The following is a 24808-nucleotide window of genomic DNA, read 5'->3' as shown; positions in this document are numbered from 1 at the left end:
CCTCTTTAAGTAACTAATTAAACTAATAGACAAAAAAAAAATAGTAAGGAAACAGAAGAACTAAACAACAATAACAACCAACTAGATTTAATTGACATTATTGGAAACTCTATACGACAGGGAATGTACATTCTTTCCAAGTGCACATGAATGTTCATGTGGATCATATTTGGGGACATAAAAATCTGAAAATATTTACAAATGTGGAAAATATAAATATCATACAAAATGTATATCTCAAATCATAATAAAATTAAACTAGAAATTAATAAAAGAAAGATACTTGGAAAATGCCTAAATATTTAGAAGTTAAACAACAGACTTTTAAATAATGTATAGGCCAAAGAGGAAGAATCAGGGGAAATTTTTAAAACGTATTCTGAGTTGAATAAAAATAACAATATAAAGCATCAAAACTAATGGATTTTAGCTTAAGCAGAGTTTAGAGGGAAATGTATAATATTGAATGCTTATATTTGAAAAGGAGATAATGTAGAATTTATAATGCAAGCATCTACTTAAAGAAAAAAAAACAGAAAAAGAAGAGCAAGCTAAACCCAAAGCAAGCAGAATGGAAGACTTACACTATTCAATTTCAGGTCTTACTGTAAAGCTAAGTTCGTTAAGATTGGGTAGAATTGTCAAAGGAGAGATATATAGATGAGTGAAACTGAAAAGAAGGCTCAAAATAGACCCAGGCAAATATAGTCAACTGATTGTTTTTAACATAGTACAAAGGTAATTCATGCAAGAAAGCTATTATCTCACTTGTATGCCTAATTACTATTTTCCAGCAAACAGCTATATAACTTAATATGCTAAGTGAATTCAGCTGTAGGTGACTGAGAAGCAAAACTAGCTTAAACAAGATAAATATTTACTTCTTTTATTGAATCTAAGGTCCTTTCAATTATAAGGTGTAAGATTAATATCAATTAGAAAGCAAAAATAAAGTTGCCAATTAAACTACTGCAAGTCATTGATAAGACGTTTCCAATTCCAAAACGTTAGCACTGGGGGAAAACCTGTCTTAGAACATATGCAGTAGGTTGTCTCTCTGACATAATTGCCTGGACTACTACGGGGTTTCTGCTCATTACGGCCATCATCATTATAGGTGCGTGCCACAACGCCCAGCTAAGTTTTTGTATTTTTAGTACAGACGGGGTTTCACCGTGTTAGCCAGGAGGGTCTCAGTCTCCCGACCTCGTGATCTGCCCGCCTCCGCCTCCCAAAGCGCTAGGATTACAGGCATGAGCCACCGCACCCAGTCTTGTTGAACTAATTTTCAAACTAAGCTATTTTAAAACACAGAAATACTTCCAGGAACAATAATCCTCCAGGACTTGCTGGGTAGAGGGATGGACACTAGAATACTTGACATCGTTCATGCTGCTAATGGTTCACCAAGTTCTTAGGATTCAGACCCTGCTGGAGCTGTGTCAGTGCTCTGGTTTACATCCCGTTCACAGAAGGACGTGGGGGTGTGGTTTACTTCTCATGTGATTCTAAGATGGAGTCTAGCAAGTGATTCTAGGATGGTCCCATAATAATCCATTCAGTAGTTTTGCCTCAAATGTTTTGGGAATGATATCTCATTATTTTCTTTCTCCTCTCAAATCTAGAAATCCAATCTTTTTTGACATATGCATATAGAAGTTCCTAGACTTCAGTGCTGAGGAGACAGAGGCTACAGGCATCCATATGTCTGTCTCTGGGGTCTTCTTAGGAAGAGGCCTCTGATGAAGAGAACAAAGCTCTTGTTTGATATCCCAGCTTGAGCAAGAGGAATGGGACAAGTTCGTGGCAGCCACCAGCCGCCAGGAGATGGCTGAAGTAGACAATCAATTTCCAGGTTATTGGGAAATTCAAGACCAATCAATAGAATTATCTGGAGATAAACTCTCTGGGACAGTGTTCATCAAGTTGCAGTGCCCTGTTTGAGTCCGAGTTAGTGTTAGTCGGAGATACAGTGAAGTCTAAGGAGGATGAGGAAGAGTGATTGGTGATAGCAGATAAAAGAAAAATGAATCAGTGGGATAAATGGAGATGACCAAGTTTGGCGAGAAGACAATACTATGAGAGAAGGTGTCCAGAGACAGAGTGAGACACAGATATAGGAACAGGATCCTGGGCCTTCCTGCTCCAGGAAAAGCATGGAAAAGGCAAGTTGTGAGGGCAGAAGACAGTCCCACAAGAACATGAAATTCAGTCATGCAAAGGGCTGGGAAGGCAGAAACACAGTGGTGAGAGTGAGCCAGAAAGGAGATGTGGGGAGCAAGGACTCATGGCAGAGAAGGCCCTGGTAACCAAGATAAGAAAGTCAACTGTGAAGGTGAACTAAGAACACATGATGGATGAGTGGAAACCAGGGGCCAGAAAGTCTTTGAAGGCAGAAGATACAAGGCAATTTGTGGGCAGGAGGGAAAAAAGTAGTGAAAATGTGCAGGCCAATGTGAGAGGGGCCTGTGATGGCAGAGAGGAGGCCAATGATGTGAGTAAAAGGAGCACTGCAGGAACCGGACCCAGTGTGACGTTATGAGAAAATGAGAAAAACTGAGATGGTGAGGGAGAGTCAGAGCCAATATCGGAACCAATGATGAAAGGCCTCCAAAGAGAGGTCAGGATAAGAAGACAGAATAAAGGCGAGAACTGGAGAGAGCTCAGCAGTGGGTGGGGATGGCAACTGGACCTCTGGAGTGTCAGCTGGGAGAGTGGATGCTGGAGGTAGAGGAGGAAAAACCCAAAAATTTGTGAATGAGAGCTAGACCTGTGTGGTAAAAGCTTCCAATACTTCTTCCCACACAGAGGGCTGCCTTCAGTGCATACATCAGGTCACTGAGGTAGGACAAGTTAAGACAATCTTTTTATTTTATAGCTATTATGAATGCCTAGGGACTCCAAAGAGAAACTTTGTATAGTAACACCCAGTACAAAGTATGTAATCCAGGAAGTGACCAGCCCGATGTGTGCTATGACCCCTTTGAACCTCCCATGATCACAGTCCTTGAAGTAAGACTAAGAACTAGTCGTTCTCTAAGTGACGCAAGTAAAGTAATAGCTAGAACAGAAGAAAAGGGGTCCCCAAAAATGTAACCTTAAAATTTGATGCCTGTGCTGCTATTAATAGTAAACAGCATAGGTTAAGATGCGGTTCTCTAGATTAGAAAAAAAGTTACGCAGCAGAAAATAAGTACATCTGTCAAGAATCATATTTATGTGAGATGTGTCAATACTGGTCTTGTGTCATTCATTTAGGCTACTTAGAAAGAAGATAAAAAAGATCCTGTTTGGCTCCAAAAAAGGAAAAGTCAGCCCCTCCTGCATGAGGAGGAGCTGCAGCCCTTTAGAATTGATAATCACAAATCCCTCAGACCCAAAGTAGAATAAAGGAAAATATGTAACATTAGACATTGATAGAAAAGGACTAGATCCTAGTGTAAATATCCTAATAGAAGGAGAGGTTCAAAGATGCTCTCCAGAACCAGTATTTCAGACTTTCTATGATAAACTAAATGTGCCAGTACCAGAGACTCCAGGAAAAACCGGAAATTTGTTTTTGCAGTTAGCCAAGCATGTAGCCCAGTCTCTAAATGTCACTTCATGTTATGTTTGTAGAAAAACTGTAATAAGAGATCAATGGCCATAAGTAGCCCGAGAATTAGTTCCTACAGACCCAGTTCCTGATGAATTTCCAGCCCAAAAGAACCACCCTGACAATTTTTAAGTTCTAAAAGTCTCAATTATTAGACAGTATTGTATAGCTAGAGAAGGAAAAGGATTCACTCATCCTGTAAGGCAGCTTAGTTGTCTTAGGCAAAAGCTGTATAATGATACCACAAAAACAGTTACATGGTGGAGTTCCAATTACACAGAAAGAAATCCATTCAGTAAATTTCCAAAGCTGCAGGCTGTTTAGGCCCACCCAGAATTCCACCAGGACTGGATGGCCCCCACTGGGTTATACTGGATATGTGGACACAGAGCTTATGCTAAGCTGCCTGATCAGTGGACAGGTAGCTGTGTAATTGGCACCATTAAGCCATCTTTCTTCTTACTGCCCATAAAAACAGGTGAACTTCTGGGCTTCCCAGTCTGTGCTTCCCGTGAAAAAAGAAGCATAGCCATAGGTGATTAGAAAGATAATGAATGGCCTCCTGAAAAAATCATACAATACTATGGACCCACCACTTATGCACAAGATGGCTCATGAAGATATCAAACCCCCATCTACATGCTCAACCGAATCATACAGTTACAAGCTGTTTTAGAAATTATTACTAATAAAACCAGTTGAGCTTTGACTGTTTTTGCCTGGCAAGAGACTCTTATGAAGAAATGCTATCTATCAAATAGATTGGCTCTCGACTACTTGCTAGCAGCTAAAAGAGAGGTCTATAAGAAATTTAACCTTACTAATTACTGTCTACACATAGATAATCAAAGGCAAGTAGTTAAAGACATAGTTAAAGATATAACAAAACTGGCACATGTACCCGTGCAAGTGTGGCACGGACTCAATCCAAGAGCCATGTTTGGAAATTGGTTCCCAGCAATAAGAAGATTTAAAACTCTTCCAATAAGAGTAATAATAGTAATAGGAACTTGCTTACTGCTCCCTTGTCTGACACCTGTATTTCTCCAAATGGTAAAAAACTTTGTCGCTACCTTAGTTCACCAAAATGCTTCAGCACAAGCATACTATATAAATCACTATCGATCTATTGCACAAAAAGACATAAGTAGCAAAAATAAGAGTGAGAACTTCCCCTAATAAAAAGTGAGAGTCTCAAATGGGGGAAATGAGGGAAGAGAGAGACCCTCTCATATTGTTTTATATTGTTTTATACTCAGTACCTGTTTTAAGAAAAAAACAACAAGAAAGTAAAACCAAAGACAGGCAGCCCAGCACCAGGCCCGAAACCAGGCCTGGGCCTGCCTGGCCTAAACCAGATTTCATTTGTAGATTGCATTGTTCATGCTTGGCTAAAGCAGAACAGTATTATGGTGCAACAGGCACTAAAAAGAACTATAGGAAGATGTGAGTTTGGAGGAGTACATGGGAGCCTCATCATATAGTAACTTGTGAACCACAGGGAAACCTTCACGTTTTACTGAGTGAGATAGGTAGTTGAAAATTAGTTAAAAATCAACTCATAACTTAGAAACCGATGTTATTCATAGATTCCAGACATTGTATAGAAGAACATTGTGAAACTCCCTGCCCTGTTCTGTTTCTCTCTGACCACCGGTGCATGCAGTCCCTATCATGTACCACCTGCTTGCTCAAATCAATCACGACCCTTTCATGTGAAATCTTTAGTGTTGTGAGCCCTTAAAAGGAACAGAAATTGTGCATTCGGGGAGCTCAGATTTTGAGGCAGTAGCTTGCCGATGCTCCCAGATGAATAAAGTCCTTCCTTCTCCAACTTGGTGTCTGAGAGGTTTTGTCTGCGGCTCATCCTGCTACAATATAGTTTTTGTTTCTCATATAGTTATTAATTTGTCTAAACATTTCAATAGATGGCAGGGTCCTTTTTAGTCTTCTGATTCTGGGTTTTATTAATAGTTGTACTTACATAAAAAAGCTTTATGTAATTCTATCAATCGATTAAAAAAAGAAGTTGGCAAAATTCAGCAAACATTTATGATTAAAACTCTTGGAAGCCTAGGAATAAAAGAGAAATTACCTTAATTTGTTAAAGACTATCTGTAATAAACTACAGATAACCTCATATTTAATGGGGAAAGATTTGAATGCTTTCTCCCTAAGATTAGAAAAAAGGCAAGGTGGCCACTCTTGCCACTTTTATTGAATATCACAATAGAAGTTTTATTTAGTGCAATAAAACATGAAAAATAAATAAAAGGCATACGGATTGTAAAGAAAGAAATAAAAAGATTTCATTTGTAGATTGCATTGTTCATGCTTGGCTAAAGCAGAACAGTATTATGGTGCAACAGGCACTAAAAAGAACTATAGGAAGATGTGAGTTTGGAGGAGTACATGGGAGCCTCATCATATAGTAACTTGTGAACCACAGGGAAACCTTCACGTTTTACTGAGTGAGATAGGTAGTTGAAAATTTGCCATAAAGACTTACATCGTTAGACTTACATTTTTATAAATTCATTCTAAATAATGTGTGCAGAATAGACTATGGGGATGAGGAGACAAGTACAAGGACACTGGTCAAGAGCCTATCACAATAATCAGGTGAGAAATGAAAATGGCTTAGTTTGGGTTGGCAGCTATTTTTAAGGTAGATATATCTTTACCTTAAAAGTAAGCTATAGGGTCTTGCTATGTTGCCCAAGCTGGTCTTAAACTGGCCTCAAAAGGTAGAGAATATCTGGATATACTCTAAATTTATCTAGATGTATTGGATAGGTAATATGAAATGAAAATCAACTAGTAAGATGTATTCGATAATGATAATACTGAGGGAGAAGCTTGCATGAAGTAAAGACTAGGCTTTCAGCTTGAGTCATGTTAAGTGTAAAGTGCCTATTAACTATCATTGTAGGAATGTCAGGAATCCAGTTAGATACTTTAGGCTGGAAGTCAGGGGAGAGGCTAGGTCTAGAGAAATAAATGTGATTGTAAGCAGCCCATAGATGAGACCAGAAGACATTGCCTAGGAAGTAAGCACAGATAAGAAGAGGTACAAGGACTGGGGTATTCCAAACTTTAGGGGGTGGAAAAAGGAAAAGGAACCACAAAAGAAAGCTGAGAAGGACCACTGCAAAAAAAAAAAATAATAATAATCTGGGGTGGGGAGAGGGTTTCTTTTAAAGAAAGAATATCAGGGAGGAAGCAATCAAGTATGTGAAATTCTACTGATAGTTGAGTACGGTGAAAACTAAGAAGAGATTTTTTTTTTTTTTTAAATAACTTACTCTCTGAAACCAGGCAAAAGCAAAATTTTCACAGAAGCTTAATAATATGAAGTGGAAAAGCTCTAAGTAGCTTTAATGAAGAGCAGTTAACTCCACAATCAGCTTGTTTGACCAAAGCTTTTAGATTAAGTAGCCAATGCAATTCTGAAGGTAGAAACAGAACACCAACCTTCTCTGGAACCCAGAATAAGTATAAGCCAGAAAATTACCCATTGTTTCTCTTAACAGTTCTGGCTTGAATGTGAAATGGGAAAAGTTCCCTTATCCCCTTGCAGGGTGTGAGATGGGGGTGTGGCTGGCTTCTTCAGTGCCTCCCTGCTCAAACCTCTAGGGGAGCTTACAGGCGGGCAGGCTGTGGGGTTCAGATCCCACAGCAATGTCTAGGGGTGAATGTTTGCAGCTGAAGCCCCAGTAGGCATGTGTTACAGTGTGCTCTTTTAGTTTTGCTCTTCTAGTTTAGCCGCTCTAGGTGCCTTGTGTTAGTCAACTCAATTAGACCCCTGCCTTATCACAAGGACAGTGGACTTTCTGTATCCTGAGGTTCTTGCCTTGGTGTACTGGAAGAATCAGATCACATATGGGCTTGGAGAATGAGTGCAAGGTTTTATTGAGTGGAAATAGCTACCAGCAGATGGGAGAGTCAGAAGGGAGATGGTTTTCCCCTGAAGTCAGGCTGCTCAGTGGCCCAGACTGTCCTCCAGCTGCCCCAGCCAAACTCTGCATTGTTCTGTCAGTCAGTGGCCTACCAGCATGCTGGTGCCTGTCAGTGTGTTCCTCTCAATGTCCAGCCACCTATGTGTTCCTCTCCCTGTGTGTTCCTCCGCTGATGTGCTCCTCTTGATGTCCAGTTGCTTCTGTATCTGCCTTGCTAGGGTCTCAGGTTTTTGCAGGCACAGGATGGGGGCATGGCAGGCCAGGGTGGTCTTGGGAAATGCAACATTTGGGCGGGAAATACCTGTTCTCAGTTAGGTCCGTGAGTGTGGAGCCCTAGCCAGGACTAGCCAGGGTATGGAGCCCTAGCCAGCCATGTTCTTCCCTTCCTAGCACTCCCATATTATTTCCCCTCTCTGAAGAGGTGTATCTAACTGCCATGAGAATATGGACAATGACTGGTCTTAGCTGCTTCCCACTGACAGGGGGCATTCTTTTGGGGTAAACTGCTGTCGGATGCTTCCGAGAGGTCTACCTGGGGGTTCCTAGCAAAGCGGAGCCATCATCTGAGGCTCTGGTTGCCTGAACATTTGGAGTTTGATGGCTTCCAGGCATGAGAGAAAAAACAAGTTTTATAAGGTTAAGTATGCATGGGTTAAACATGTGTATTATTAAAGGAAAGAATTTAGTGCCAAATATTACAGACATAAGAAGAAAATATACTAACAATAACATTGTACCCCAAGTTGTTTCACTCTGTTGAAAGAAATGAAACCTTGCACAGGAGCAAATAAACTTTACCAGAGAGATAACTGTTCTTGAAATATCTTTAGCAACTAACAGGTGTACCCTGGGAATTCTAGGGTTTGTGGGGTTGCATGGTGGCCATTAAAGCTTTTGCTCTTTTGCGTATTTCCTCTCTCTTCCTGGGCCTCCCTGTCTGTATTATAAAAGACCAAGGTAGCCACTTTCAGGAGGTCCTCTAATGTACTAGCTGATCCCAGGGATCGTTTCTGCAACTTCCTCCTGATATCAGGAGCTGCCTGAGTAATAAATTTATACTAGCCTTCCACTATGCACACCTGAAAGTGTGTGCTTCTCCAGTCTTCCATCTCATCATTGGGATGCCATTTAGGGTCATTCACTGGTACTGCTTCTCTTCCAGTTGGAGAATATTCGTCCCCTTCCCTGACGCTATATGTGATACAAAGCTCATTCCTAAATCTCTCTGCTGCTTGCAGAGTGGACTGTTTCTCAGTGTCCATCAGGGTCTGATTCAAAAGTAACATAATGTCTTTTCAAGAGAGTTCAAATATTTGGGTGAAATTCTGGAGAGCCTCTATCTATAAGGGTCATCTGAAAACCTGTCAATATCCTCCTTAATTTGCTTTAAGTCCTGTAGGGAGAAGGAGACCTGGACCTTACTGGGCCCAAATTCACTGGGCATCTGTTGGAGGGGCAGGAGTGAGACTGGGGCTTGTTTAGAGTGAGGATTTCTAGGAGGGGGCAAGTGAGAGGCTGAAGCTGGATAGGGAGGTTGGGATAGACCTGGAGGAGCAGGGCTTGAGGGAGCTGGCTCCCCTGTTGGGGGTGCCTCTGGGACTCATATCTTTAATTCTCTAGGCTTGCCCCTTGCAGCCTTCCCTAAGATGGCAAACAGGAGGGCTAGATCTATCTTACATTGTTAGCCAAGGTCTCGATTGCCTTGCAAGATATAGAAAGCCTGCATATATGTGGCCTCAGACCATCTGTCCTCATGTCTGCAGAAAAGTTCCAACTGCCAAGTGGTATTGAAATGAATGGTTCCTTCCTGAGGCCAACTCAGTCCTTCCTGTAAATCATAATTTGGCCAACCCTTTGTGCGTAGGGCTATGAGGTGTTTTTCCTCCAGATTCTGAGGGTCAAAGCCGTCCCAATGGTTCAGGATACACTCCAGAGGAGTATAAGCTGGAAGTGGTGAAGAGAACTGGTTGCCCATTCTGAAAGACAGGGAACAGAGGTGTCCATCATTCTCTTCTTTCAGCAAATACTCAGGGTGTGATGGAGAGAGAAAGCCAGTGTCCCCCTTCACTTTCCACCTTTTGTCCCTGAGACCCAGTGACCTTGACCTTGGCAAGTGACATAGGTACCAATGCGGTAGGTACCCATGAAGTAGAGAAAATCCGGAGAATAGGAGTTAACTGCCCTTATCTATGCCTTCTTTTCTCCCTGCTGTTGGCAAACTTTGAGTTCCCTGGGCCTGTTTATGTCACGAAGCAAGGCCTCCTTCCATGGGGTGGAGGTTTCAATTGGCAGAAATTGGCTGCCCATTTATATTGTGCCCGTTGCCTGGCTTTGGATCCCTCAGACCTGGTTTTCCTTTTTAGGACCTCAGCCTGAAGCTTGGAATCAAGTTTGGGACTGAAAAGGCGTTTCAGAAGCTGTTTGTGTCCATTTAGAGAGTCTCAAGTATGCCCTGCTGAATTTGCAGTTCTCAGCCAGCAGGGGTCGTTTCACCGTTAACTTCCCTATCAGAAACAGTGTTAGAATGGGGAGCCCTCTCACTTAAAAAACAGAAAAATAGCTTAAGGGGCAAAAATGGGAGAGATTCTGAGGGAAGAACCACTTGCTTAGTGCAAGTGGGCCCTCCTAATCCTTATAACTTTCCCATTCTTCCCCCAGTTCAGACCAGATTTAATTCCTTGGCCAGGGGAGGGAATGTTCCATTGGCACGGCAGGTAAGAAGCACCTTGTACAGTCCTGGTTACTGCCCCAGCTTCCTCCCACCCTCCTCGTGGCTGCTGAACTTGGCCTTTGCCTGCTGTGGGCACACCCAGGCACCCGAAGTGGGAGGAAAAAGGGTAACGGGAGGTGCCCTGAGCCATGTGTACCTGTGGCTGTCGACATGGAGGCATACATGGCACCTCCAGGAACAATTGGTCTGACTTGCATCTTTGTTGACTGAGCCAAATGCTCATTTTACTTAGTAAAATTGCTGCAGCCTGTAACAAAACTCTTAACACTATAAAGAAAGAGATAGCCATTTTGAACCATGTGAGAGAGAAAAGAGACAAAGAGAAAACAGAGCATCTTACCCACAGAAAGAGAAGTGGCAGGGTTTTGGAAGAAAAGCAGACCCCATAGTTTTGTATTTGCTCATACTCAACTTCTGAGATCCTGGAAAAGCCCCCATTTGAAATGGGAAAAGTTCCCTTGCCCCCTTGCAGGGCATGTGATGGGGGTGTGGCTTGCTTCTTCAGTGCCCCACTGCTCAAATCTCTAGGGGAGCATACACAGACAGGCAGGCTGGGGAGCTCCAACCTCATGGCAGTAGGGCAGAAGTGGAGCCCTAGCCAGAGACCACACCCTCATCTACCTAGCACTTCCCTTCCCCCACTGCATATCATTTAAAGGGACCATGTTCTTCCCTTCCCAGCACTCCCATATCAAATGTATGTGTAAACATTTAAGAAATCTTGGCTTTAATTCTAATAAAATGATAAAATTACTATGTAATTTTAGATGCTAATACTTCTAATTTTGTATAAAACTTTTATAATCTTTATCCTTCATAATTTTTAGATTGGTGAGATTTGCCAGAACTTTAAACTGGTATCTACTGCATGCCTACATCGTAATTTTATTTAGTCATTTTACTAGAATTAAAACTAAAATTTCTGGTACTCCAATTAACCCTTCAGCTTTTTCAAATGAACATAAAATACATCTATGCACATAAATTAGAAAATCTAGAAGAAATGGATAAATTTCTGGACAAATACACCTTCCCAAGACGGAACCAGGGGAGAAATTGAATCCCTGAAAGACCAACCATGAGTTCTGAAATTGAGCCAGTAATAAATAGCCTACCAACCTCCCCAGAAAAGCCCAGGACCAGATGGATTCACAGCTGAATTCAACCAGATGTATAAAGAAAAGCTGGTACCATTCCTACTGAAACTATTTCAGAAACTTGAAAGAAGTGACTTCTCCCTAACTCATTCTATGAGGGCAGCACCATCCTGATACCAAAACCTGGCAGAAATACAAACAAAAAGACAACTTCAGGCCAATATCCTTGATGATCATATGCAAAAATTCTCAACAAAATACTGACAAACTGAATCCAGCAGCACATTGAAAAGCTTATTCACCACGATCAAGTCGGCTTCATCTTTGGGATGCAAGGTTGGTTCAACATACACCAACCAATAAATGTAATTCATCAGATAAATAAAACTAAAGACAAAAACCACATGCTTATCTCAGTAAATGCAGAAAAGGCTTTCAATAAAATTCAATATCCCTTCATGTTAAAAACTCTCAATCTACCTGGTGTTTAAGGAACAGGCATCAAAATAATGAGTCATATATGACAAATCTACAGTCAATATCATATTAAATGGGCAAAAGCTCAAAGAATTCCCCTTGAAGACTGACACAAGACAAGGATAACCTCTCTCACTACACCTTTTCAACATAGTATTAGAAGTTTTGGCCTGGGCAATCAGGCAAGGGAAAGAAATAAAGCATATTCAAAGAGGAAGAGAGGAAGTAAAATTGTCTTTGTTTGCAGATGACATGATTCTATATTTGGAAAGTCCCATCATCTCAGCCCAAAAGCTTCTTAAGCTGAGAAGCAACTTCAGCAAAGTCTCAGGTTACAAAATCAATTTGCAAAAATCACTAGCATTCCTACACACCAGCAACAGGCAAGCAGAGAGCCAAATCACAATTGCTACAAAGAGAACAAAATACCTAGGAATACAGCTAACAAGAAAAGTGAAGGGCTTCCTCAAGGAGAAGTACAAACCACTGCTCAAAGAAATCAGAGAAGACACAAACAAATGGAAAAACATTCCATGCTTATGCATAGGAAGAATCAAGATCTTGAAAATGGCCGTACTTCCCAATGCAACTTACAGATTCAATAGAAAAATACCTATTTTAAAATTTATATGGAATAAAATTTATATGGAATAAAAAAGAGCCTGAATAGCCTGAATAATATTAAGCAAAAACAGCAAAGCCAGAGGCATCACACTACCCAATTTCAAACTATACTACAAGGCTACAGTAACCAAAACAGCATGGTACCAGTGCAACAACAGACACATAGACCAATGGAACAGATTAGAGAATTCAGAAATAAGACCACACACCTACAACCATCTGATCTTTGACAAACCTGACAAAAATGAGCAATGGGAAAGGATTCCCCTGTAAATAGTGCTGGGAGAACTGGCTAGCCATATGCAGAAAATTGAAACTGGGACCCTTCCTTATATCATATACAAAAATCAACTCAAGATGGATTAAAGACTTTAGTGTAAAACCCAAAACTATAAAAACCATAGAAGAAAACCTAAGCAATAACATTCAGGATATAGACACAGGCAAATATTTCATGACGAAGATGCCAAAAGCAATTGTAAGAAAAGGAAAGATTGACAAATGGGATCTAATTAAACTAAAGATCTTCTGCACAGCAAGAGAAACTATCAACAGAGTAAACAACCTACAGAATGGGATAAAATTTTTGTAATTCATGCATCTGATAATGATCTAATATCCAGCACTTATAAGGAACTTAAACAAATTTACAAAAAAAAAAGACCTCATTAAAAAGTAAGCAAAGGACATGAAAAGACATTTCTCAAAAGAAGACATACATGTGGCCAACAATTATATGAAAAAAAGCTCAATATCACTGATCATTAGAGAAATGCAGATCAAAACCACAATGAGACACCATCCCACACCAGTCAGATGGCTATTATTAAAAAGTCAAAAAATAATAGATGTTGGCAAGGTTGTGTTGAAAAAGGAATGCTTTTACGTTGTTGGTGGGAGTGTAAATTAGGTCAACCATTGTGGAAGACAGTATGGCAATTTCTCAAAGACCTAGAGACAGCACTACTATTCGACCCAGCAATCCAATTACTGGGCGTATACCCAAAGCAATATAAATTGTTCTATAATAACTACACACGCACACATATGTTCATTGCAGCACTATTCACAATAGCAAAGACACAAAATCAACCTAAATGCCCATCAACGATAGACTGGATAAAGAAAATGTGGTACATATACACCATGGAATACTATGCAGCCATAAAAAGGAACAAGATCATGTCCTTTGCAGAGACATATATGGAACTAGATGCCATTATTCTTACCAAACTATCACAGGAATGGAAAATCAAATACCACATGTTCTCACTTGTAAGTGAGAGCTAAATGATGAGAACACATAGATACCTAGAGGGAAATAACAAAAACGGGGGCCTACCAAACAGCAGAGGGTGAAAGGAGGGAGAGAATTTAAAAAATAATGGATACTAGGCATAATACTTGAGTGATAAAATAATCTGTACAATAAATCTCCATGACATGTGTTTACCTATGTAACAAATCTACAAATCCTGCACATGTATCTCTGAACTTAAAAGTTAAAAAAAGCAAATGAACATAACTTAATCCCTATTCCTCTCTATATGAAAATTGTGAAATAACTGTGACAATGCAGCAACATTTTCACAAGAAATTGTTCAAGGCCTTGGAGCATAGAATATGTAATATTTGTGAAGAAAGTGTCATAATTATATACAGAAAATATTTATTGGAAGTTCTCCTTGTGCAATTAAAATTCTAAAGATGTAAAAATCAAGTATTTCATATTAATAAAATATTAAAGTACTATGAACTTACCATAAATTTGACTCTGATTTGGCAATTACCTAAAGAAAATACAAGATATGTCTTGTAAACTAAATGATTCATCATTGAAAATAAATGTTAACACATTGTTTAACATCACTAGTTTTCTAGCTCCTTCTTTCAACATAAAATAAGCTTTAATGTAACTTATAAATGTATTCAATTAAAGAGTAACATTAAGGTGGAAAATATCATACATATGTTCACCTTGCTACTAAAACACAATACATAGAATATGTTGAGGTCTCCACTGTAGAATACGCAAGTCAATAAAATCAGCAAATAAAATTGACAAAAGGTGACTATTTCTCATTAAAAAAAGAAAATCATTTACACTTTGTCTTAAAGTTTTAAAGCAGGATATTCCAGTTTTAAGACAAAGAAATGACAAATATGTATACATATATATATATATGCGGGCAAGTGTTCTTTTGACATTAAAAGACCTAGGACAGGCTGAGCTCAGTGGCTCACAACTATAATCCAAGCACTTTGAAAGACCAAGGCAGGTAGATTGTTTGACCCCAAAATTTTGAGACCAGCCTTGGCAACACGGTGTAACTCTGTCTCTACAAAAAATTCAAAAATTAGTCAGGTATAATGGCACATGCCTGTGGTCCCAGCTGCTTGGGAGGCTGATGTGAGAGGATCGCCAGAGTTTGGGAAGCTGAGGCTGCAGTGAGCTATGATCATGCCACTGCACTCCAGCCTGAGCAACAGAGTGAGACCTTGTCTCAATAAATAAATAAATAAATAAATAAATAAATAAATAACCTAGCACAAATTATTTTAAGAGTGTGTGTGTATGTGTGTATATATAAATATTTTTTACAAATATCCTCCAGTAGTATGAAGTTGATTAGTACAATGGAGGAACAACATTTAACAGCTGTCTTATGCCTTAAGGGACATAAATCTTGATTGTCCATTCATAGATATTGTATTTAAAGGAACAATAACTTTACTCTATTCAATTTAGTAGCAACTTCTCCAGAATGGATTGCAGTCAGAAACTGTCAGATCTCTTTTGGGTGAGAACTTTGGAACGTTAAAAATTCTGTCTCTTAAAAATGAATGATGGTCAGGTAGTTGGATGCAGTAATTAGGATTTCTGTTTATTATAAGTAGAGATAATTTTTCTGGGTTGTCTACTAGTTTAGTTATAGAACAAGTCTTCTCTTCCTCTGTGTTGATTGGAACCTTGGCAGATACACCTTCACTGATTTTACTGAAATTTACTGTTCCACTAAAGTAAGGGTAAAAAGAGAAGGAACAGAATAGAAAACTTTCAGTCTTCAGATTTAATGCTACCAACTCATTAGCAGACCCAGTTTTCAGAGTTACTAGAGGAGTAGAGATGTCTACAGATTTCTGACTAATGTCATCATTAGTTTTCTTTTTAAATTATGCTGTGGAGGAAAGTTAGTTATTTTACATAAGAGAGAAAGGGTTTGCTCTGAGAGAAGCAGCATATAACTTTCCACCTCTATATTTTAATGTACCTTTTGAGTAGGGTTAGGAGCAGTGTTGGTGATATGGGTGGGAAGCAGGGAAATACTGGGCAGAAGAGGGCTGTCCCAAGCAAGAGCCACACATCCTCAAGCCTGGGATCACAGACCAAAATGAGAACATGCATTTCCTGCTTTCCCACTCACATGTTGCTTTTTGGCCCACCCCACACCCCATCCTCTACCCATAAAAACCACAGGCCCCATCACCAGAGTGGCAGAGCAGCAGAGCAGCGGAATAGCAGAGTGACAGAGAAAGAAAGAAAAGAAGAAGCAGCCGGATGTCAGAGAGAAGCAGTTTGAGCTCAGAGGGACAGCTTGATGGTGGGACCTCGGAGAAGAGTTTGTCTGAACTCCAGGGGAATACCACCTTCCCATTCCATCCACTTTCCAGCTCCCTATCCCGCTGAGAGCCACTTCCATCCCTCAATAAAATCCTCCACATTCACTACCCTTCAATTTGTTTGCATGACCTGATTCTTCCTGGACGCTAAACAAGAACTGAGGTACCAAGAAGGCAGGTCCAAAAGGCTGTCACCCTGACCCTCCACTGAGCTGTTAAATACTTGTCATCTGTGGATAGAAAAGCTAAAAGAGCACACTGTAACACTCACCCTCTGGGGCTTGAGGGGTCATGGGAACTCCCCTAGATGTTGCCATGGGGCAGCACAGAGTTCTACTCCTGCTGGCACACAGAAGCCCTCATCCTGATCCCTACACCCACTCACCTGTGAGTTTCCCCTCCCATGAGGGGTTGAGAGCTGTGGGCTGAGTAAACAAGCCAACCCCTTTGCAACTCCTGCAAAGAGGCCAGGGAAGTACCCCATTTCATCAACACTCTTGGCAGGTGCCAATGTCCTCTCATCTTTTCTGCTTTTGCAAGAAAAAAAAGAAATTGATTTTTTATGTAGATTTGAAAACTTCTAGGTTTTAACTCCAAAATATTGTTTATATCTCCAAATTTAGCACAAATGGAGTTGTACCAGTCTCTCTCATTCTGGAGTAGGTTTTAGAAGATTAGTCAATGCACCTTCAGCCATGCTCAGTGCACTGTGTGCCTGATGCTTCATTCCTAGGTGAGACTTTGGCCTAGGTGAGTAGTCATTCCAGCTCTCAGTACATACTTTCTTTTCATTGTATTTGAAGGTTTAGGATTGAATTTGTAGTCATCTATAAAATGGATGATTCTTTATACAAGAAGTAGTTGCAATTTTATCAATCCCTTCCAAAGGAGTAAAGAGAGCATCATTACACTGTGCCTTTTGCCTTTTTTTTTTTCCTTTTCTATGTTTGGGTTGATTTAATTTTGGGTTCAATATTGATGAAACAATTAGAGTAATTTCCTTGGAACACCTTCATGATCAGTTTTACATACCTGATAATTTGATCATCTGCCAACTTCCATGACAACATCATTACTTTTGGAAACATCTCTTACATTGATCTCTGTTCTCCTAACCCCATTGTTCATATTATTTCCTGTGTTAATTGGATACTTATTTCATTTCATAATTCTCTTTATTTGAACCCAACAACTTCGAGATTCTTACACAATTGACTACCATCTCTTCGTTGTTTATATGATGTACCATAACATGTGGTTCTCCATCTGTCTTTATAGTTTCTTGTTTTACTCCTTGGAGTTTTGTGAGAAATCTCTAGCACCACTGTCATGGACTTAGGATCTTTTTTTGGAGGGGGCCATATTTATCCTATCTCTTGGCATTGCACTCAGTTCATTTTTATCTATATCTCTTCAATTCTGGATTAAGTGTCTATTCCAAATTGTAGTGATGCTATAGCTTCATTAGACATTTTTGGGCAATCAGAGATAGAGGTTTCACTTGTCAGTATGAGGCAGAGCACTGTTCATAATTTCAGCAACACTTTGGGAATTCACTACGTAAGAAGGTCCTACCCCTTGGATGTAGGCAAGTTCATGTTGCACGCTTTGGGAATGTAGGTTCAAAGGCAATAGATCTTTTGTCTTCTTAGGTGAATCTGATGGCAAGAGTTTGAAATATGCAGTTTGGGCATTATACCGAACCTCATAAAAGTCAGATAAGGCTTTCTTGTTAGATGTGTTGCAGGAGCACTTGCAGTTTGCTCCTGCTTTTTGTCATTTGGAAAAAACAACCTAATTTTAAAACTGTCAAGTGAAGTGTGATGGCTAATTTTATATGTCAACTTGATTGAGATAAGGTATACTCAGCAGGGAAAGCATTATCTCTGGATGTGTCTATGAGGGCCAGTGTGACAGAGCTCATATTTTATAAAAATATGTTTTTTCTGTGATCTGATATTTCATGCAAATGAATCAACATTATTTTAACAAAGCTGTATTTTAGTTCTATTCTCTTTTGTTTGCAGAAAACTGATAAGAGAAGTACAATCATATTGGGCTTTAGATCTTAGCCTCCTGCCAAGGAAATTATGGAATCTTTGTGAATTGTGGTTGGTTACATAGTTTCTAAGCCAGAGATTGTTTCCTCTTCTTACCTATGTAGGAAGTACAAGCTTCCTAGTATTCTCTTCTGCAAGCTAGAGAACCAGGAAAGCCAGTGTTGTAATCTAGTCTGAGTCGAAAGCCTTAGAACCAGGAAATGTCTTCCTGACCAATACATGAAGTATTATTAAAATATGCCTAAATAAAACAAAGCATAATTCTCAGTGTAAGGCCAAAGGTCTGGGAAACTGGGGAACTCCAATGTCTGAGAGTAGAAAGAAATGGATGCCCTAGCTTTAGAAGAGAATAAATTTACCCTACCTGACTTTTTGCTCTGTTTGGGTAAGACCTGCACGGATTGGATGATGCCTGCCAACATTGGTGAAGGTAGATCATCTTTACACAGCTTAGTGATTCCAACATCAATCTCTTTCAGAAAAGCCCTCATAGACACATCCAGAGATAATGCTTTCCCTGCTGAGTATACCTTATCTCAGTCAAGTTGACATATAAAATTAGCCATCACACTTCACTTGACAGTTTTAAAGTGTTTTCAAAATGACTATTACTTAAAACAGAAAGCCAATCATCTTTTACATAATTGAGACCCACCCTGAAGAATAAGAGATAGCTGTAATATATTTACAGTTCACTGCCTTTCAAAGTGTTTATTCAGAATTATACTAGAAGTAATTTCATGAAAATAATATTGTGCAACCTTTTCATTCTATTTCAATGAAAAGCAGGCATGAACATTACTCAAGCTTGAAATTTTACTGAAAAGTAAACATTTCAATTAAGCTTAAGGAAAAAAGAAATTTCCTGAGATTTCCAGTGTATACAGAAGTGTCTTTCCATTAAGAATAATTAAAAGTTAAAAAATATGCTGATAACTTGCCACAATTGACAGAATGCAGATTAATAGGATAAATGGCAAACAAATCTATAAAAATGCATGCAGAGAATCAGAGTGATCACCCCACCAAGCAATGGGGTATAGATGGTGATATACCCTTGTCCTTAGGGGAGAGGGAGATGGGGAAGTGTGGGTGATTTTGGGGGAAGAGTAAATAATTTGGGGAGAACTTAATGGGGTGAAGATCACATAAATGGCCTGGGACAAAGTCTACTGGGCTTGCAGAGAAGACAATGGTTTGTGAGAAAAATCTATCCAGGTGGGTTAAGAGACTTCATTCTTTTTCCTACAATATGACTTCAGTTAATGAAAACCCATGGAAGGCACCAGAATTAACTGTTTTCTTATTTGGTGAGTCTGAACTTAAAGCAGATAAAGGAACTTCAGAGAACTTCCTCCTGTGCTCTGGGAAAACAGAGGATTAAGAAACAGAGGTTGAGGAGGAGGTCAGAGAGACCTCGAGTCTTCTTTAGTTCCACCTGTCAAATCACTATATGTTAGGGTATCCGTTTCTGAGCCCCAACAATAGTTTGGAAATATATTCTCCCAATCTGTAAGTTGTCTCTTTACTCCATTAATTATTTCCTTTGCTGTGCAGAAACATTTTTTATTTTATGCAATTTCATTTGTTTATTTTCACTGTGGTTGCATCTACTTTTGAGGTCAAATCCAAAAATTATTGCCCAGACCAACGTTGTGAAGCTTTCTCCCTATATTTTCTTTTAGTAGTTTTACAGTTTAAGTCTTTAATCGATTTTCAGTTGGTTTTTATATATGGTAGGAGGTAAGGGTCCAATTTTATTCTTCTGCATGTGGATATACAATTTTCCCACCACCATTCATTGAAGACTATTTTTTCCCCATTGTGTATTCAACATTTAGGGACTGGGGCTGGGGAATAGAGAGATGTTCCCCACATGTCACAGGGTAGTAGGTTTCAGTTAAGAGGAATAAGCTTTTGAGATCTATTGCACAGCATAGTGACTATAGTTAATAATAGTGTATTGGATCTTTCAAAATTGTCAAGAGAATAAATTTCAAATGTTCTCACCACAGAAAATGATAAGTATGTGAGATGATGAAATGTTAGTTTGATTTAATCATTCCATAGTGTACACATATATCAGAACATCACATTGTATTCCATAATTATACAGTTGTCAGCTAAAAATTTAAAAAATAAAAATATCCTTTAAAAATGCAAATAGCAACTGCAGATAGAAATTTATCATGTATCTCCCAATGTGCTTTTTTATTGTATATATTTGATGTGTATAATGTGATGTTTTTATGTACATACACTTAATCTAATTAACATAAGCTTCATCTCACATACTTACATTTCTTTTTGTCTGTGTGGTAAGAATATCTAAAATCTGTCATCAAGTTTTCAGTACACAGTGCAATACTATTATAGTCCTCATACTGTATGTTAGATATCTAGACATACTCACCCTTTGTAACTGCAACTCTGTATCTTTTGACCTGTGTCTCTGTATTTTCCTCATCTCTGGTAACCACCATTCTACTCTATTTCTATGTATTTGGGTTTTTTTTTTAAGTTTCACTATAAGTGAGATCATGCAACATTTTTTTTCTGTGTCTGGCTTATTTCACTTAGTATATATAATAAACCCTATAGGTTTATTTACATTGTTTCAAATAACAGTGCTGAGACCAGCTCAGTCGGGTAGATCCTAACCCAGCAGCGCCAGAGGAACTAAAGACACACACACAGAAATATAGAGGTGTGAAGTGGGAAATCAGGGGTCTCACAGCCTTCAGAGCTGAGAGCCCAGAACAGAGATTTACCCATGTATTTATTAACAGCAAGCCAGTCATTAGCATTGTTTCTATAGATATTAAATTAACTAAAAGTATCCCTTATGGGAAATGAAGGGATGGGCCGAATTAAAGGAATAGATTGGGCTAGTTAACTGCAGCAGGAACATGTCCTTAAGGCACAGATCGCTCATGCTATTGTTTGTAGCTTAAGAACGCCTTTAAGTGGTTTTCCACCCTGGGCAGGCCAGGTGTTCCTTGCCCTCATTCCCATAAACCCACAACCTTCCAGCGTGGGTGTTATGGCCATCACTAACATGTCACAGTGCTGCAGAGATTTTGTTTATGGCCAGTTTTGGGGTGAGTTTATGGCCAGATTTTGGGGGGCTTGTTCCCAACATAACAGGATTTCTTTTTACAAGGCTGAATAATATTCTATTTTTTATATATATATATATATGTATGTATGTATATAATGTGTGTGTTTTATATATATGACAATTTCTTTATCCATTCATCTGTTAATGGTCACTTCAGTTAGTTCCGTATCTTGGCTATTATGAATAAAGATGTGTTATAATAAACAGGAAAGCAGATATCTTTATGAGGTGGTGATTTCATTTCCTTTGGGTGTATATCTGGAAAAGGGATTGCTGGCTCATATGGTAGTTCTCTTTTTAATTTCTTTAGGAACCTCCATGACGTTTTCTATAATGGCTGCACCAAACTGTGTTCCCACCAACTGTGTACAAGGGTTCCGTCTTCTCCACACTCTCACCAATGCTTGTTATTTCTTGTCTTTTTGATATAGCCATCTGATATGGTTTGGTTGTGTCTCCACCCAAATTTCACCTTGAATTGTAATAATCTCCACATGCAAAGGGCAGGGCCAGGTGGAGACAATTGCTTTATGGGGGCAGTTTTCCCCATACCTTTTTTTTTTTTTTTACTTTATTAAAATACTGAGTTTTATTTCACGTGTATACTTTTGTCTCCCCACCATTTCCATGTCTGACCACTGCTACTACTATGTCCTATCATAGCATCCCATACATACTTAAAACCAAGCAAAGGGTGGAGTTCCATCTTTAAAAACTAAACAGGCATTTTGGACAACACATTCTTGGCAATAGAACCTGGACAACATTTATCAAACATGGTAGGGAAAGTTCTCACTCTGCACTATAAAAAGGACAGCCAGATATCAACTGTTACAGAAATGAAATAAGATGGAAAATTTTTAACAAATTGTTTAAACTATTTTCTTAAAGAGACTTCCTCCACTGCCAGAGATCTTGAATAGCCTCTTGGTCAGTCATCCAGAAGAAATTCTTCACATAATTGATGAACTTGGTTTCCACTTTGGGAAGAGAACCACGTTTTTCTATACTTGCTTGCATTTTTGCTTTAATGTCTTCTACAGAACTAGATCCTTTTGGTGTTTTAGGAGATTTTTCCTGTTTTTTGAAGGATTCTTGTCCTTTTGATCTTGGTGTTGATGATGGTTTTGAGTCTTTTCCATTCTGATTTGACTTTTGTGCATTTTTGGCTGGAGTATCTCGTATAGATTTCTTCACTGGCGCTTTTTCTTCAGCTTCCTCGTCATCATCATCATCATCATCTTCATCATCATCATCATCAGCAGCAGCAGCAAGTTTTACTTTTTTCTGCCCACCTCCAGGGGCAGACTGCTTTCCAGATATACTTAAGAGTTTCACATCCTCCTCTTCTTCATCTTCTGACTCTGCACCTTCCTTCACAGCTACTAAGTGCTGTCCACTAATATGCACTGGCCCTGAACCACACTTCAACCTTAAGTCCACTGGTGGTGTTATTTCAAAGCCCCCAAGAGAAACCGTTGGCTGTACAGACATTTTCAAAGTTGCCAGTGTTACTTTAATTGGACTGCCTTCGTCATTCATGGCCTCTGCTTCAACAATGTGCAGTTCATCCTTTGCACCAGCCCCTGAGCTGACCGTTCTTAAAGATAACTGGTCTCATTTTCATCATTATCCACCTTAAAGTGATCATCTTTGTCGGCCTTTAGTTCACAACTGAAAAGATAGTTCTGGGGCCTCAGGGGGCTCATGTCCATGTCCATCGAATCTTCCATCGGGTGGCGACACACACTTAGGTAGGAGACAAGGCAGACGAAGATAAATGAATGCTGCTCCAGAGAACAGCCGCGCAGGACGGAATCACACCAGGGAGCCCCATACTGTTCTTGTCTCAAGATATCTGATGGTTGTATAAATAGGAGTTCCTGTGCACAAGTCCCCCTGCCTGCCACCACATAAGACATGACTTTGCTTCCCATTTGCCTTCTGTCATGATTGCAAGACCTCCCCAGCCATGTGGAACTATGAGTCAATTAAATCTCTTTTATTTATAAATTACTCAGTCTCGGGTATGTCATTAGCAGTGGGAGAACAGGTAATATTAGCACCATGAAAACAGGTAATATTTTACTATGATTTTGATTTGTATTTTCCCAGTTATTAGTGATATTGAGCATATTTTCATATACCTGTTGGTATAAGAAATAAATTCTTTGCTCATTTTAAAATGGAGTTATCAGTTCCAATATGCTTCTAAAGATTAGTTGGGGCTTTGCTGTAACATCTAGACATGTATATCTGATTTGGAACAAATCCACTTCCTCTCTGTGTAGTGCCTGGCACTACTGGCACCTTTGTCATTCAAATAGGCACACTCTCCTGCTCCCAGGATAGGAAACCTGCAAGAGAAGAAGCAGAATCAGTTGGCCACTGAACATTTCTTCAACAGCAGAGAGAATGAAGATGAGAAAATGAGAAAACTAACATTAATTCAGCCTCTAAAAATAATGCTGTTTTTCCTTGTGTAGTGGTGACTAATTAGTCAGTGGGCTTTGCTTAGCAGGAGATGTTATAAATCAACTATAGGAATACTGCAAAGTCCTGAATCAAACCTATTTCATGTCTGTAAGCATAATATTCTTTCAAGTACATCCAAAGCCTTAGCTGGCTGATGGGAGAAGTCTGACACGTTTTCTTTACACAGTTTCCCAATATTTTGCTTCCTTAAATAACTGAAGACTCAGCAGCTATTTCTAAAAACCATGCTTGATTTTATTCCTCCTACTTCCCTGGTGGTTTTAGTACTGAAACTGCAGTGCTATTTAGCTGAGTTTAGATGGCTTGGCACAGATATTTTAGGTCAGCATTTGGATTATAAATTTTTCCTCTTTGCTCATTGGAATCACTATCATCTATGATATAATTTGCTAATTGTTGAAACTTGTTAGACCTTAATCATATAATATTTTACATTTCTTTAAGTGATGAGCAGTTTCCAAAAACTGGTTAGTTAATAATATATTTGATCCTTAAAATATTTTGAGAGGCCAGGCATGGTGGCTCACACCTGTAATTCCAACATTTTGGGAGGCCGAGGTGGGAGGATTGCTTGAGCTCAGGAGTTCAAGATCAGCCCAGGCAACATAGTGAGACCCCATCGCTGAAAAAAAAAAAAAAAAAAAAAAAAAAGCCAAGCAAGGTGGCACACACCTGTAGTCCCAGCTACTCAGGAGGCTGAGATGGGAGGCTCACTTGAGCCAGGGAAGTCAAGGCTGCAGTGAGCCACGATGGTACTACTGCACTCCAGCCTGGGTAACAGAGTAAGACCCTGTCTCTCAAAAATACAAACAAACAAAAAACCATTTTAAGAATTAGGTAGAGAAAATTTACTACTTCCGTATTGTAAAATAAGAAATAAAAGTTAATTCTAGATATTTATGAAGCAGTCACAATGTGCAAGGCAGTGTAGATACAACAATGTATAAATGTACATGTTCTCTGATTTCTAAAACTTACCATCCCATCCAAGGTCAAAAGCTAATGAGAAAAAACTCATTTCAAACCT

At 39.3% G+C, this 24808-nt stretch overlaps 2 protein-coding genes, 1 long non-coding RNA gene and 1 pseudogene across 18 annotated transcripts in view, besides 7 other annotated features; 1 reads left to right on the top strand and 3 right to left on the bottom strand.

Annotated features, from left to right (window-relative positions):
• CLECL1 (C-type lectin like 1) overlaps positions 1 to 16220 on the top strand; it is a 32165-nt gene extending 15945 nt beyond the window's left edge. For 8 of the 11 annotated variants that reach the window (NM_001441806.1, NM_001441814.1, NM_001441807.1 and 5 more), the window contains one exon: positions 1626 to 5429. In NM_001441806.1, the coding sequence (NP_001428735.1) occupies positions 1626 to 1643 (18 nt within the window). In that variant the 3' untranslated portion in view covers positions 1644 to 5429. Of the gene's footprint in view, positions 1 to 1625; positions 5430 to 15961 lie in introns of those variants that run through there. The other 3 variants (NM_001441809.1, NM_001441810.1, NM_001441811.1) reach the window with 1 other exon arrangement.
• Positions 580 to 679: a silencer, noted in NCBI's record as "silent region_4232". NCBI's record gives its function as "represses an Ori minimal core promoter by ATAC-STARR-seq in GM12878 lymphoblastoid cells {active_cell/tissue: GM12878}" and the evidence as "EXISTENCE:reporter gene assay evidence [ECO:0000049][PMID:35858748]".
• Positions 4853 to 4902: an enhancer, noted in NCBI's record as "active region_5952". NCBI's record gives its function as "activates an Ori minimal core promoter by ATAC-STARR-seq in GM12878 lymphoblastoid cells {active_cell/tissue: GM12878}" and the evidence as "EXISTENCE:reporter gene assay evidence [ECO:0000049][PMID:35858748]".
• Positions 4953 to 5002: an enhancer, noted in NCBI's record as "active region_5951". NCBI's record gives its function as "activates an Ori minimal core promoter by ATAC-STARR-seq in GM12878 lymphoblastoid cells {active_cell/tissue: GM12878}" and the evidence as "EXISTENCE:reporter gene assay evidence [ECO:0000049][PMID:35858748]".
• Positions 5013 to 5182: an enhancer, noted in NCBI's record as "active region_5950". NCBI's record gives its function as "activates an Ori minimal core promoter by ATAC-STARR-seq in GM12878 lymphoblastoid cells {active_cell/tissue: GM12878}" and the evidence as "EXISTENCE:reporter gene assay evidence [ECO:0000049][PMID:35858748]".
• Positions 7484 to 15018, bottom strand: LINC02390 (long intergenic non-protein coding RNA 2390). The gene is made up of 2 exons (XR_931347.3): positions 14245 to 15018; positions 7484 to 9530 (listed from the first exon to the last, which is right to left on the bottom strand). It is a non-coding gene; the product is annotated as a long intergenic non-protein coding RNA 2390 (long non-coding RNA).
• Positions 7597 to 7686: an enhancer, noted in NCBI's record as "active region_5949". NCBI's record gives its function as "activates an Ori minimal core promoter by ATAC-STARR-seq in GM12878 lymphoblastoid cells {active_cell/tissue: GM12878}" and the evidence as "EXISTENCE:reporter gene assay evidence [ECO:0000049][PMID:35858748]".
• Positions 10754 to 10853: a silencer, noted in NCBI's record as "silent region_4231". NCBI's record gives its function as "represses an Ori minimal core promoter by ATAC-STARR-seq in GM12878 lymphoblastoid cells {active_cell/tissue: GM12878}" and the evidence as "EXISTENCE:reporter gene assay evidence [ECO:0000049][PMID:35858748]".
• Positions 16181 to 16230: an enhancer, noted in NCBI's record as "active region_5948". NCBI's record gives its function as "activates an Ori minimal core promoter by ATAC-STARR-seq in GM12878 lymphoblastoid cells {active_cell/tissue: GM12878}" and the evidence as "EXISTENCE:reporter gene assay evidence [ECO:0000049][PMID:35858748]".
• The window catches only part of CLEC2D (C-type lectin domain family 2 member D), a 29841-nt gene continuing 23881 nt past the window's right edge, over positions 18849 to 24808 (bottom strand). For all 6 annotated transcript variants that reach the window (NR_036693.3, NM_001004419.5, NM_013269.6 and 3 more), the window contains one exon: positions 18849 to 23642. Coding sequence is in view for 5 of the 6 variants with exons in the window: in NM_013269.6 (NP_037401.1) it covers positions 23528 to 23642 (115 nt within the window). In the remaining variant the exon portion in view is untranslated. The remainder of the gene's footprint in view (positions 23643 to 24808) is intronic.
• NPM1P7 (nucleophosmin 1 pseudogene 7) lies at positions 21853 to 23034 on the bottom strand (annotated as a pseudogene).

This window comes from Homo sapiens, chromosome 12 (genome assembly GCF_000001405.40).
Source record: "Homo sapiens chromosome 12, GRCh38.p14 Primary Assembly".
NCBI classification, from domain to species: Eukaryota; Metazoa; Chordata; class Mammalia; order Primates; family Hominidae; genus Homo; species Homo sapiens.
This window is presented reverse-complemented; position numbering and strand designations above follow the sequence as displayed.